Here is a 15,215-nt window from a genome sequence, read left to right as displayed (position 1 = left end):
AGTATTGAAAAGTTTTCAAGACACCCGAATGCCCAATACTGTCCCCTTACTCATTGTGTAACCTTGGAGAATTTTATTTATCTTTCCTCATCTGTAAAATGGGTAGAATAAGGCTAAAGATAAGAATGTCATGAAGATTGAATGAGATAATCTAAATAAAGCACTTAGCATCAATTCCTGACTCACAGTAAATGCTGAATAAATAATAGTTTGTTTTTTAAAGGGGAAGGAAGGAGATCAGCAAAGGTTTCAGGAATGATGAGGACTCTAAAGAGAACCCAGGGCTTTGCAAGGTGAAGATGATCCTCTGAGATTGTTTTGGTAGCATGGTCAGACTATCTTGAATTGAAAAGTAATTAAGAGCAGTGGAAAGGGAGAAAATTGGCATAAACTTTTTGACAAAGTTTGATGGTAAGACTTGCCTGAGAATGCAAATCTGATAGAATATACCTTGATTTTTTAAGATGGAAAATTTGATTCTGTTAATAAGCTAAAGGGAAGGAGGGGTAGAGAGGAAGAGGTTAATGATTTGGGAGAGGAATGCATGGCTGATGGCACATGGCCTTCCAGCAGACAGGAGGAGAGAGGCTCAATCCCACAGGTGTTTGTTGTTGTTGTTGTTGTTGTTGTTGTTGTTGTGTGTGTGTTTGCAGAAGTTATCACTGATGCAATGGTTTAAGCAGAAATTAAAAGTCTAATTATTATCAAAGAGTATTTAAGATTATCATTATCTGCAGATAATATGCTAGCTGTTCTCAAACAGTGATTCCTGACCTTTCCACATTATAGAATGTGAAAAAAATGATAATATCTGTAAGATATACTGGAATGAACCATAGGGGATTCAGAAGCAATTTTCTTTGTATAATTATGATAATAAAAATAAAATGTAAAGTATGGGGGAAGATATTAAATATCAAATTTATGTAAAACTTCCAAGTGAAATATTCTCAAATTGGTTACCTAGAAACTTAGGCTTATTTCTGTGGACAAAACTTTCATATCAGATAGTATGCCTAAAAAAGCTATAAACATTTCTTGATGTCAATTTTTTAATGATTATCTCTTGGTAGTCAACATGAATGAGAAACTTTGTTCATATTAGTAGCTGACAAAATATTCTATTGTTTTCTATCAAATTTACAATAGTTGCCAAGAGAATGTAACAGCTCTTTTATTCTTTTCTAGAAAAATGTGATATTGAAATCTGTTGTGATAATGAAAATAGATTTTTTTAAAAACAGAACTATTTTTTTCCCCTTTACATTCTTTTTTTTTAACTCTCATTTTAGGTTCAGGGGTACATGTGCAGGTTTGTTACATAAGTAAACTTATGTCATGGGGGTTTGTTGTACAGATTATTTTCATCCAGGTATTAAGCCTAGTACCCATTAGTTATTTTTCCTGATCCTCTCCATCTGCCCACCCTCCACCCTTCAGTAGGCCCCATTCTGTGTCGTTCTCCCCATGTGTTCATGTGTAAACAGAACTTTTTTTACACCATGAACTTCAAAGTAGTGAGGAAGCGGTCGTGTGAAGAAAGGGCATGCGTTTTTGGAGGAGTGTCACTAAAAAAATCCATCAGCCACAAAATAAGTGACAGTATGTGCTCAGTGTCAGGACAATGATTCCAAGCTGCCAGCTGGTGAAGCATCTGCCCCATTCCCACAACCAATTGCACCTTAGGCTGTGATCCAAGTACGGCGGGCACCTGGAACCCAGGGTCCTCCAGCAACTCCATAGGCCCAAGACCACATGGCACAGAGACGCACTCTGCTGCCAAACTGAAGGAGCTGTCCAGGCTGCAGAGCACCTCTTTGGCTGTGTTTGAGGTGTGGCTAGGAAGCTGGGAGTGCCGCGAATCAGTGTAGGGAACGGTGCTCATTGCTAATGGTGACAGCACATAGTCAGGAATACTCTGCTTAGGGTTCCCTTCAGGGGATCGAATGAGCCTAGGAGGTTGAGGCTGCAGAGAGCAGTGATCAGGCCACTACACACCAGCCTGGGCAACAGAGCCAGATCCTCCAAGGAGTTCATGATTGCAGGTGACCAGCTACAAGTGACTGCCCCAGACCTTCCTTCCTACTGGTGCACTCAGTATCTCACAGAGCACCAGGATCCCCATGCTCGCCACACCTGAGGGCTGCGTGCAGCACACTCATAGGAAAGCTCTGGTCTAGAAAACCCAAGGGAATTGTATGAGAAAGTATTGGCATTAATAAAAGAGTGAAAAGAATGGCAATATATGAAAGAATGACAATATACACATATAAAGAAAAACATATGAAAAATTACCAGATTTTCTAGATACTATAAACAGAGAGGAAACATAATGAAAAATATTGCATTCTCAATATAGCATGTTTCTTGTTATTTCTAGTTAGTTATAGTTATCTCCATACAGATGAAATGCCTAGGAATAACTTAACAAGAAACGTGAGAGATTTGTATGAAGATATAATAAGACTTTACCACAAGATATAAAAAATTACTTCAATAAATAGAGCCATAACATGTTCTTGGATGGGAGAACCGAATATTATGAGATTGTCAATTCCTACCAAATTAATTTATAGTTTAATATGACTCCAATCAAAATCACAATAGTGTTATTTTTGGAATATTACAAAAATCATTCCAGAGTGCATCTGGAGGACAAATAGGCAATAGTAACTAATACATTTTGAGGGTAAATAAAGGGTGGTAGGGAGGATTTAGCCTTCCAAGAAAGTAAAACACAACAGAAGATAACAATAATGTTATCGGTTTGTCTCTCCTGCCAGAATAATTTGGCAGGACAGAATAGATAGGCCAGAAAGAACCCATAGGATATATATGATGACGATGATAAAGGTGGCATCACAAGGCAGGAAGGAAGGGCAGGATTCTCCAATGAATGGTGCTAGGTATTGGTTGGGGGTGGGCATGGGGTTGAGGAAGAAATGGAGAGAAACTGTTTTCCTAAATGTGTGTTTCTATGTACTCCAACTACAGTTACACTTCTGGGTTCTCTCCCAATCCTCATTTTCTTTCTTGGGTCAGGAAGAAGGAAATATCTGATTGATGAGTTTAGAAGAAATAGAATGTGTGGCTCAGGCCCCTCCTCTCTTTCAGGGTCTGTCTGCTTGCAGAGAGGCTGCAAGCTGGTCTGCCTCAGCTCAGTGGCTCTTAAAGGGGCAGTTTCTGCCCCTGCCCTTAGGGAACTCAGTAGGGGTCGAGCGTGGCCTGGAATTGTGTGAATAAGGCAGCTTAATCCAGGGTAAGGTATGTTAGCAGACTATTTTGGCTGCTTATCTAAAATTACATATTCTAATCAGCTTTAATCAGGAATAAAGAAAACAACATCGGCCGGGTGTGGTGGCTCACGCCTGTAATCCCAGCACTTTGGGAGGCCAAGGTGGGCGGATCACCTGAGGTCAGGAGTTCGAGATCAGCCTGGCCAATGTGCTACTAAAAATACAAAAAAATTAGCTGAGCGTGGTGGTGGGCACCTGTAATCCCAACTACTTGGGAGGCTGAGGCAGGAGAATCGCTTGAACCTGGGAGGTGGAGTTTGTGGTGAGCTGAGACCATGCCACTGCACTCCAGCCTGGGCAACAAGAATGAAACTCTGTCTCAAAAAAAAAAAAAAAATTCCACCCACATTATATGTTTATCTCTTAATTGGTTTCTAACTCATGAGGGGGAAGGGCTGTTATTTGTTGGTCCAGTTAAATCTCCAAAACTGGAGTAATTGGTTGGAGAAAAATTTATGTCCTAACACACGCAATATATGAAGAATAACCTCTACAAAAGTTTAACTAATACAAATTAAAATCAAGATACATGATCAAATTTTTGGATCAAGGAAGACTGTCTAGGATTAAAAGCAAAGACAAATATCCCTAGGCAAAGACACATAGCTCTAACAAGATTTTCATACAGTGTGTAGGCCAGGCACAGTGGCTCACACTTGTAATCCCAACACTTAAGGAGGCTGGGGCAGAGGATCACTTGGGTTCAGGAGTTTGAGGCCATCCTGGACAATATAATAAGTCCTCATTTCTATAAAAAAAAGAAAAAATTAACCTGGTGTGGTGGTGTGTGCCTGTAGTCCGAGCTACTTGGGAGGCTGAGGTGGGAAGATCAGTTGGGCTCTGGAGGTCCAGAAGCAGTGAGCAGTGATTGCTTCACTGCATTCCAGCCTGGATGGCAAAGCAAAATCCTGTCTCAAAAAAATTAGTAAAATAGGCCGGGCGCAGTGGCTCATGCCTGTAATCCCAGCACTTTGGGAGGCTGAGGTGGGCGGATCACTCGAGGTCAGGAGTTCGAGACAAGCCTGAGCAATATGGTGAAACCCCATCCCTACTAAAAATACAAAAAATTAGTGGGGCGTGGTGGTGTATGCCTGTAATCCTAGCTACTCGGGAGGCTGAGGCAGGAGAATCACTTGAATCCAGGAGGCAGAGGTTGCAGTGAGCTGAGATCACGCCATGGCGCTCCAGCCTGGGTGACAAAGCAAGACTCTGTCTCAAATAAATAATAAATAAATAAATAAATAAATAATTAAATAAATAAAATAAAATAAAATAGTGTATATATACATTAATAAAAAAGCAAAACAACCAAAAGGCAGTTATTAAACTGGAAAATTATTGTTAGTAAATATTATATGTAATTACTACATGACATTTATTAAGAACATAGACAAAATAATCATGAAAATGAACATTTCAGTAGATGGATAGAAAAAATATTAAGAAGGAATTCACAAAAAGAAAAATACAAATAGCTAATGAATATGTTTAAAAAGTCATATACACAAATGATCAAAGAGATGCAGTTAAAATGAAATACCATTCTTTGTCTATCCAGCTAGAAAATAATTATAAAATGAGAATTCCTAGTCCCGGTGAAGGTATAATGAAATGGTCACTGTAAGTAGTAGGAATAAATCAGTGCAACTTTTCTGAAAAGAAATTTGGCAACATTCACTAAGTCTTAAAATGTTTATACCTTTTAACTCCAGTAAATCTGATAGTCTACCCTAAGTTATTTGCAGAAATGCAAAATAACAGCTATGTCCTAAGATTTTTGTAATAACGAAATAAATGGAAGAATATATGTCCAACATTAGTGAAGGTTAAGTACATTATCACATAATGGAATATTATGCAGCCATTAAAATTAAGCTTACAAAGGGCTTTTAAACATCACCTAAGGACATTAAAAAATAAAATTGTGTAACCTCTCTGTTTAAAAAGAATAATAATTTAAGGCAGCTTATGAGTAGACCTGAAATTTAGCAAGATTGCCTAAATTAGAAGTAGATGAGAAAAACAGAAGACAACAAGAGTAGGAACAAAAGACGAGCTGTGAAGAACCTATTGCAAAAATGAAAACAATTGCTGGAGTCTGAACATTGGCTATGAGTGAGTTGAAAATCCCACTCTATGCAAATCCAAAAAGGAAAGGTGTTTTAGAACATCACAGCATGGAGTTTGCTGGGGAGGTAACATAAGATAAATACAAGGTTTGTCAGGCATGACTGAGGCACAAGTGAGGTTTAGCAATACGATTTTACAGTGCATCCACTTGGCAGATGTCTATAATTTTCTATGGTAACTCTCAACAGCCTGAAAATAGCAGAAGCCACAGCATCAGAGGCTGAGAAAATGATGATGGATAAATTCAAGTTCGGAAGTTGAAATGATAAAGTGGGAGGAAGGTGGGGTGGTGAAGGCATCTGGGGTGCTTTCTGAGTAATCATCTATTAATTCAACAAAAAGTTATTGAACACATACTGTCTACAAGGCATTGTCCTAGTCATTCTGGGGATACATCAGTGAACATAACAAAGATCTCTAAACTTTGTTCACAGATAAAGTGAGATGAGGAATATATAATAAACAGAATACATCATGAATACAATAAAATTGTGTGCTTGGGAACAAAGGAAACTAAGGAGCAAGGGATAGGGAATTGGGAGTATAGTTAGTGTGTGTGTGTGTGTGTGTGTGTGTGTGTGTGAGAGAGAGAGAGAGAGAGAGAGAGAGAGAGAGAGAGAGAGAGAGAGAAAGGCTGGGCAATAAAGACCTAAAGGAGGTGAGGGAGTGAGTCATGAAGATATGTTGGGGGAGAAGGTCAAGGAGTGAGAGCATCTGGACCACTAGGATCTAGAATAGGCAGTGCAGAAAGAAAGGTAAGGCAAGGACCTGCCTTAGATGGAGAAAACAGAGATGGGGTAGGTACAATTCATTAGGGAAAGAGAGCAGTCAGGAGGTCATCAGCCAAAGTGGGGAACTCCTGAGCCTGGAGTCACAGAACTTTACAACTCTCATCTTAAATCTACTCCCTTTGCTCACAGAACTACTGTTAAATGTTCCGGTGACACAGTCTGCAGTGGTGCACCCCTCTTCCTGCTATGAGTTCAGAACAACTGCTAAGTGGGCATACTGAAAATTCAAATTTCACAGGAGAGGGCTTTTTGGTAAAAAATGTATAAAAAGAATTGAGTGACTTGCACATTAAAATATGCCTTCTTTAGAGGTTTAAAAACAAAGATAGAGGCCAGGCACGGTGGCTCACACCTGTAATTCCAGGATTTTGGGAGGCCGAAGCGGGTGAATCACTTGAGGTCAGAAGCTCGAGACTAGCCTGGCCAACATGGAGAAACCCTGCCTCTACTAAAAATATTTTAAAAAATTAGCTGGGTATGGTAGCAGGCTCCTGTAATCCCAGCTACTAGGGAGGCTGAGGCAGGAGAATCGCTTGAACCCAGGAGGCGGAGGTTGCAGTGAGCCGAGATCACCCCACTGCACTCCAGCCTGGGTGACAGAGGGAGACTCCGTCTCAAAATAAATAAATTTAATTAAATAAATAAATAGATAAATAGAATTGTGAGGCATGTAATTGTACCAATAAGATGATCACAACATTGTCAGATAACACCATCCAAAATCATATGCATAGAAAAAAAGGATAGAAGAAAACACCAAAATATCTACTGTAGCTGGATATCGTTGGGTAGTGGGATTACACAAACTGTTTTCTTTATTTGTTTCTACTTGTTTTACTTTTAATAATGGCTGAAGAATTTTTACTTAAAAGTAGGCTGTTTGTAGCAATGTTGGTTTAAGTATAGTCCTACTAGACAAGAAGAAAATGTAATAGAGTACAAATTGATAACTAACATAGGAAATAAAAATAGTAAAGACATGGAAATCTACTCAACATCATTAATTACCAAAGAGAAACGAAAATTGAAACTTTAAACATTTTTATTTTTTGCTCATTAAATTGGTAATTTAAAGAAGATTTATAATGTGGAACTAAAAAAAAAATGGAGACGAAATAATCAATGAAATCATTTGACAAAATTTCCCAGAACTAAAGGAAATTGAAAGAGTCTACTGAGTGGCCATCAACATAGATGAAAATAGACTCTGCCGGGCACGGTGGCTCATGCCTGTAATCCTAGCACTTTGGGAGGCCGAAGCAGGTGGATCATGAGGTCAAGAGATGGAGACCATCTTGGCCAAGGTGGTGAAACCCCATCTCTACTAAAAATACAAAAATTAGCCAGGTGTGGTGGCGGGCGGCTGTAGTCTCAGCTACTTGGGAGGCTGAGGCAGGAGAATCTCTTGAACTCAGGAGGTGGAGGTTGCAGTGAGCCAAGATGGCGCCACTGCGCTCCAGCCTGTGTGACAGAGCGAGACTCTGACTCAAAAAAAAAAAAAGAAAAGAAAAGAAAAGAAAAGAAAAGAAAATAGATTCATACATATTCTCACAAAATTCCACAACACAGGGGACATAGATAAGATCCTACAAATGTCTAGGGAGAAAAGAAAACAACTTATGTAGAAAAGGATCATGAATCAGAACAGTTCTGGATTGTCCAACAGCAAAACTGGAAACTAAAAGAAAATGAAGAAATGTCTCCAAAATATAGGAACAGAATAATTTCCAACCTTTAGTTTTCGACCTACCAAGTTATTAATCAAATGAGGATAGGCATTTGCAAAATATCGTAAATTTACCTCTGATTCATTCTTTCTTAGGAAGGCTATTGGTGGGTGCATCCACAAAACTGGGGAGTCAACCAAGAAAGAGAAGAGCTAAAAGAAGAGTGAGGGAAAGAGCATATCTAGACTGATGTTAAAGAAAGACCTTAGGCCAGGTGCAGTGGCTCACACCTGTAATCTTACCACTTTGGGAGTCTGAGGTGAGAGGATGGCTTGAACCCAGGAGTTCAAAACCAGCCTGGGTGATGTAGCCCCATCTCTACAAAAAATAAAAAATTAGCGGGGCGTAGTGGTATGCACATGTGGCCTCGGCTACTCAGGAGGCTGAAGTGGGAGGATCACTTGAGCCCAGGATATCGAGGCTGCAGTGAATTGTGATTGTGCCACTGCACTCCTGCCTGGGCAACAGAGTGGGACCCTGTCTTGAAAAAAAAAAAAAAAAGAAAAAGAAAAAGAAGAAAAGAAAGACCCCCAAATGCCGGTTCAGATCAGAGGTCAAGAGGTCAGAGGTCTCCAAGAGAAAATTCTTCAGGGCTTTGATTTTATGAATACCTGACGCTTCTAAACACCTTAAGAGGAATTAAGATGATCCACAGAGACTTTGTGATTGACACAATAGAAAGTATGTTTAAAAATAAAATTAGTAATTATTAACTTTAAAAAACCCCACAAAGCTGTACAGGAAAGGGAATATAAATACTAGTATCGCCTCTGACTCATTTCTGACTAATGTCTAAGATGTCATCAGAATGTAAATACTGAATATGTCTCTAGTAGAATTGTGATATGACTCTGTTGGGGAGATAGGGTACTGAGAAGGGCTATGTGTATGTGGAGAGAAGAAAGTGAAATCCTTTTCTTTTATGGAAGCAAATTTAGAAAGAACACCTAAGCCAGTTACCCCCTCTCTTTCTGGACATTCTCATGTTTGGATGGGGAGTTATTAGGAAGACAAACAGCCTGAGAATAAAGATGACACACTGAGAAAAGCAGAATGGAAAGCAGAAACTGGGCCCTTGATGATCTGTGACTGAATTAACTAATCCCGGAATTGGTCTACCTCCGATCTATTTGTGTAAGGTCCTCAGTGACGATGCTGTGAGCATCTATGGCTTCCACATTCAAGTACTTTGCACAACTATCTCCGCAAATTGGTACAACTTCTAGACAAGGCATATAAAACTCCAGAGGCCACGAAAAAGGTCAATGTTAATGATAAGATATATTATTATTAAGCACTGACAATATGCCACATCCTTCAGGCTACCTGAAGATTGATAGCCCTTTCCGACTATGAGTTTTACTGCCTATGGCCTTAAATTTTTGTATCCACAGAATTATTGAAAGAAAAAAATGACTTTACTGAAAATAACCACACTAATATTTATGTATAAGTTTATACTTTTAAAAAATAATTTTGACACATGACAAGTAACTATTCTGAAGAAACACATTATTATGTGCTACCTACTTCACAAATGATAAACTAAGGAAATGAGTAAGACCACATATAAATTTCTACAAGAACTTTTAAATACAGTTGACCCTTGAACAACATCAGTTTGAACTGTAAGCATCCACCTATATGCGAATTTTAAAAATAAATATATTTGAAAACTTTTTGGAGATTTGCAACAATTTGTAAAAACTTGCAGATGAACTGTGTAGCCTAGAAGTAGTTCTAAAATTAAGAAAAAGGTATGTCACAAATGCATAAAATATACACAGACACTAGTCTATCATTTACTACCATAAAATATTCAGAAATCTATTATAAAATGTTAAAATGGGACTATGCCTGGCTACTCAGGAGGCGGAGGTAGGAGGATGGCTTGAGCCCAGGAGTTCTAGTCTACAGTGAGCCATGATCCTGCCACTGCATTCCAGCCTGGGTGACAGAGCAAGACCCTGTCTCAAAAGAAAAAAAAAAAAAAAGAAAACCACCCACACAAACACAGACTGTACATGGCACTATTTGCAGTTGAGAGAAATGTAAACAAATGTAAAGATGCAATATTCTATCATAACTGCATAAATTAACTGCAACAATACTGTAATACTGTACTACTGTAACAATTTTGTAGCCGCCTCTTGTTACTATTGCAGTGAGCTCAAGTGTTGCAAGTATCTGCTTAAAATGCCACTGTGATGCTAATCATCTCCAAGTGAGCAGTTCATTTCTCCAGTAAATTGTGGATTGCAGTAGAAAGTGATCTCTCCCAGTTCTCCTGTATTTTTCCTGTTTAGTGCAATAATGTAAACCTGGAATAACACCATGAGACTCATATAAAGTGCTACTAGTGATGCTGGAAGTGCTCCCAAGAAGTGGAGAAAAGTCATGATGTTGCAAAGAAAAATTGAATTGCTTGATCTGAACCACAGATTGAGGTCTGCAGCTGCGGTTGCCTGCCATTTTAGGCAGATCATTCACCTCATATACAGACAATGTAAACCTGTGGTGTCAATAGAGTGCAGTGTTGTAAATGTATTTTTTCTTCCATATGATTTTGATTTTCTTCCTTTTTTTTTTTTGGGATAAGGTCTCAGTCTGTAGCCCAGGCTGAAGTGCAGTGGTGGAGTCATGGCTCACTGCAGCCTCAACTTCCCCAGGCTCAGGTGATTCTCCTACCTCAGCCTCCTGAGTAGCTGGGACTACAGATGCATGTCACTATGCCTGCTAATTTTTCTATTTTTTGTAGAGACAATGTTTTCCCATGGTTAGTCTCGAACTCCTGGGTTCAAGAGATTCGTCCACCTCAGCCTTCTAAAGTACTGGGATTACAGGTGTGAGCCACTGTGCTTGGCTTCCATATAATTTTCTCAATAACATTTTTTTTCTTTTTTTTTTTGGAGATGGGTCTTGTTCTGTTGCCCAGGCTGGAGTACAGTGGTGTGAATATAGCTAATTGTAACCTTGAACTCCTGGGCTCAAGTGATCCTCCCACCTCAGCCTCCAGAGTAGCTAAGACTAGACTACAGGCACGCACCACCATACTTAGCTAATTAAATTTTTTTTTTTTTTTTATAGAAATGGAGTCTTGCTATGTTGCTCAGGCCGGTCTTGAACTCCTGGTCTCAAGACAGTCCTTCCTGGGATTATAGACATGAGCCACCACACCTGGCCAAGATTTTCTTTTCTCTAGCTTATGTTAAGAATATATAATACATATGACATACAAAATATATGTTAATTGATTGTTTTATGTTTTCAGTAAGGCTTCCAGTCAACAGTAGGCTATTAGTAGCTAAGTTTTTGGGGAGTTATATGCAAAAGTTATATGCAGATTTTCGACTGAGAGAAAGATCCATGTACACATTGTTCAAGGGTTAATTGTGCTGTATATAGAATAAAAAAAAATTTGTAACCTCACAGGACAAAATAATGAAAATAAAAATAAAGATTAAAATAGGTAGAATTTTTTAAAATTAAGAAACTCACCTTTATAATAAACAACAATAATGTTGAACAATAATAATGTTGAAAGTAATCTTATAAATATGTTTGTTGGATGGGTGGGAATCCAAGGAAGCTTCAATCTCTAAACCTTTATCTTTAGCTGAAAAGGAATTCATCTATAACCAAATATAAAAACAGTGATAATAGCTTATAACTAGTAAGTTTCCTGGATATGCTAGGCACTATATTCAGTATTTTATTTGCAGTTTTATCATTTAATTTTCACATTTATCTTAGGTAGGGGGTATTATTATTGTCCCCATTAGGCTTGAGGAAAGTGTAGTTCATAGAGGTAAGATTTGTGCTTAATTCCAGAGCTTGGGTTCTTAACATCTGTGCTATATGCTCTTTCATTAACTATGAAGAAATCTGAAATCAAATGCAATAATAATACCTCATCCATTTTCTAATAGATTTCTACATTAACCATTGCAGTGTAGGTTAATATGGGCCAGATGCTCTCTGATTGCAGGCGCACACATTCCAGAGGCCCCACACCTCATATTCCCACAGCTCCTATCTCTCTTCATGCACAAATTTACTTGACCCTGGACTGGATGTACTATATAAAGGCTGCTTCATATTTGCTTGGGATTTTAATATTCTGTCTGAAGGTCTTTCACTTATTCACCATGTGGTGTGTGATGTCTGCTTTTGAATGCATGTGCCCAGAGACCACGGAGTGTGTCTGTCTCCCATGCTTGTTACAGAGCTGTCACCGTCATCAGCTTTGCCAATCATTCATGCAACCTATGAGTAAAAAAAATGAGTGGGCTGGAGGGCCTCAGTAAGGGGAAGACAGTGTTCATACCCTCCTCATGTACGGAGCCTGGGAGCTGTCCGAACCAAGTACCCAGGGAAGCATCGGCCCTCCCCACATCAAACACAGAGACACACAGAGTCTGAATTCTTCTGATATGGCCAGTGCTGACCTGCCAGCCTCCAAAGGTGTTTCATTTGCTTATCAAGAAATCTGGATAAAATGGCTTGTGAATAATGTCCCAGCATGCTCCTGACGAACCCCAAAATGAGATTCAAAAGCATTAAACAGGATTGGATTGTCAATAAATGATATGTAAGAACATTAACATAAAAAGCTTTTTTATCTGCCTCAGTTATTTAATCTCTGCCAGTTCAGATGTGCATCTCCTGTGCCCTGCTGTTAATACGTACTGACATCTGAAGTGAAGCGAGCTGTTTCCATATCCTTTGGAAATGGAAATGGAGGTGTCAAGGGAGCACAGAAAGTAGAAATGATGAAATGCTGTTCATCATAGTAGTGCTAATTAAAAATGCACAACAATACCACAAGGGCCATGAATTTATACAGTGGGTCTTCTGGATGATAAAATGTTAGTCTACCCTTTTGTCAGACAGAGGAGGGAATATAACCAGAGAGAGGAGACAACTTGCTAAGGTCAAAGTGATGATTTATGTCGGGGTCCAGAACCAAACCCAGGCCTTCTGGGAGTTCTTTCCCCTGCTCTGCAAGGCCTTCCCTAGCAAAACACTCTGTTGTCTATTAATTCATCTGCAAGAGACATTTTCACACGGTGCCAACGCACATGGTTTGGCTGACAGGACAGGCCCATGTTGTGATTGACTGGTCTGATCTTTCTCCCAGGCACCCAAACTCCTGGCGTCATACTTGCTCAGCCGTGTTCTATTATTTCTGTAGGGTGGATCATGGGTGAGTTTATTTTTTTCCGTTTTTCCTGTTTTTTAGTTTTTTAAATTTTTTTGTGGGTACATAGTAGGTACATACATTTATGGGGTACATGAGATGTTCTAATACAGACATGCAATGTGAAATATTGTTCCTTTCTTTTTTAAAAAGTTAATATTTACACTGTTTCTCCTATAACTAGTCTGTATTTTTTTGTGCTTTAAAAGAAAATATTTTAAAAAGGGTTTCAAGGTCCAAATAGGATCATGAGAATAGGTGGTTAGATTGGAGCAGAGTGTTGAAGCTGGGGGAAGGGAGATATAAGTACTTTAAGGCCAGATTGTCAGCTGATTTGGCCATGTAGGTGTTGAAGTGATGATAGTGTGAGATGGATCGGAGTCAGAGAGAAAGCTGGGAGTCAGGTGCCAATGTCTTCAATAAAGGGGCAGGGGTGTGGGGGGTAGAAATCAAAAAGGACAGTGGGTGCCTTAGCAAGGCAGCATAGACTTCAGTGGAAAATAGAAGAGTTATACTCTTGAAGCAGCACTGAGGCCCTGAAAGGGGAGGAGAGATGTGGGTGAGAGTCAGAGCTCCAGCAAGAAAAGGGGATTGAGTGACTATTTTGTTTGGAGGTTGAAGGTATGGGGAAGATTAGTTTCTCATTTTCTATTCTTTTTATTATAAAATATAACACACATAGAAAAAAGTACGTTAAGACCTAAATGTACAGCATAACAAATAATTATAAAGCATATAGCCATGTAACTGCTGCCCTGTTAAAGAAATAGTGTATCGTTGACACCCCAGAAGCACTCTGTGTGTGTTCTCTCTTTATCACATCCCCTTCCCTCTGGAATTAACCACTATCCTGACTTTTGGGGCAATTATGTCCTTCCTTTACATTTATTGAGGGTTTTTAAAAATTCCACTTTTCCCGTCTACTCATTTGGAAGTTATACATTACTTTTGATATGAAAACCTGTATCCTTAATATATTAAAACCTAGCGTTACCCTCCTCAAGAGCAATAAAAAAATTAGGATACTGTTTTCCTGGTATATATGTTATTTTTATCATATATTTTAATTCTATATATTTTAAAAGCACAAAGACATTATTATCATTGTTGTTTTATACTGTCAGTGTTCATTTAGCTTTATACACATACTTCCTACTTTCTTTGCTCTTTTTTCCTTCTTGCAGCTCAGACCTCTTTTTGCAATCATTCTTCTACTGTGAGGGGAGCCTTTCAGAATTTCCTTTCACATGGGGGTGATGGTGGCAACACTGCTGTTTTGTTAGTTTGAAATGTCTTTATTTTACTCTCTTGTGGGGTATATTTGATGAGTATAAAATTCTAGGTGTCAGTAATCTTTTAGCATAGTGGAAATATCATTCCATTGTCTTCTTGTTTCCAGTATTGCTGTTGAGAAATTATATGCCAGTTTAACAGATACTCTTTTGAAGTTAATCTGTCTTTTTTACACCTCTGGATGCTTTTCGAGGTGTTATCTTTGCCTCCAGTTTTCTGTAATCGCTGCTAATAAACACATACCTGAGGCTGGGTAATTTATTAAGGAAAGAGGTTTAATTGACTCACAGTTCTTCATGACTGGTATGGCCTCACAATCATGGTGGAAGGTGAAGTAGGAGCAAAGTCTTGTCTTACATGGTGGGAGGCAAGAGAATGTGTGCAGGGGAACTCCCCTTTATAAAACCATCAGATCTTATGAAACTTATTCACTAACATGAGAACAACATGGGAAAGACCCGCCCCCATGATTCAATTACTTCCCACTGGGGATTATGGGAGCTACAATTCAAAATGAGATTTGGGTGGGGACAGAGCCAACCCATGTCACTCATTATGATGTGTCTGACATTTTAGTTATATTGCTTAAGAGTTGTAGTGATTCTTGAATCTGTGGATTGATAGCTTTCTTGAATTCTAGAATATTCTCAGCCATTATCTCTTCAACTATAATCTCTGCCCCATTATATCTAGCTTCTTCTGATACCAATTACACGTGTAGTAGACTTTTCGGTCTATCCTCTATGTTTCTTTTCTTCTCTTCTGTGATTCTCATTTT

At 38.8% G+C, this 15,215-nt stretch overlaps 1 long non-coding RNA gene across 1 annotated transcript in view, besides 1 other annotated feature; it reads left to right on the top strand.

The window, feature by feature from the left end:
• The window catches only part of IL12A-AS1 (IL12A antisense RNA 1), a 293,693-nt gene that overhangs the window by 233,806 nt on the left and 44,672 nt on the right, over positions 1 to 15,215 (top strand). The window lies entirely within an intron of this gene.
• Positions 8,848 to 9,127: an enhancer, noted in NCBI's record as "active region_20755". NCBI's record gives its function as "activates an Ori minimal core promoter by ATAC-STARR-seq in GM12878 lymphoblastoid cells {active_cell/tissue: GM12878}" and the evidence as "EXISTENCE:reporter gene assay evidence [ECO:0000049][PMID:35858748]".

Source organism: Homo sapiens, chromosome 3, assembly GCF_000001405.40.
Source record: "Homo sapiens chromosome 3, GRCh38.p14 Primary Assembly".
NCBI lineage: Eukaryota > Metazoa > Chordata > Mammalia > Primates > Hominidae > Homo > Homo sapiens.
The sequence above is the reverse complement of the archived record's forward strand: the minus strand, read 5'-3'. Positions and strand labels throughout refer to the sequence as shown.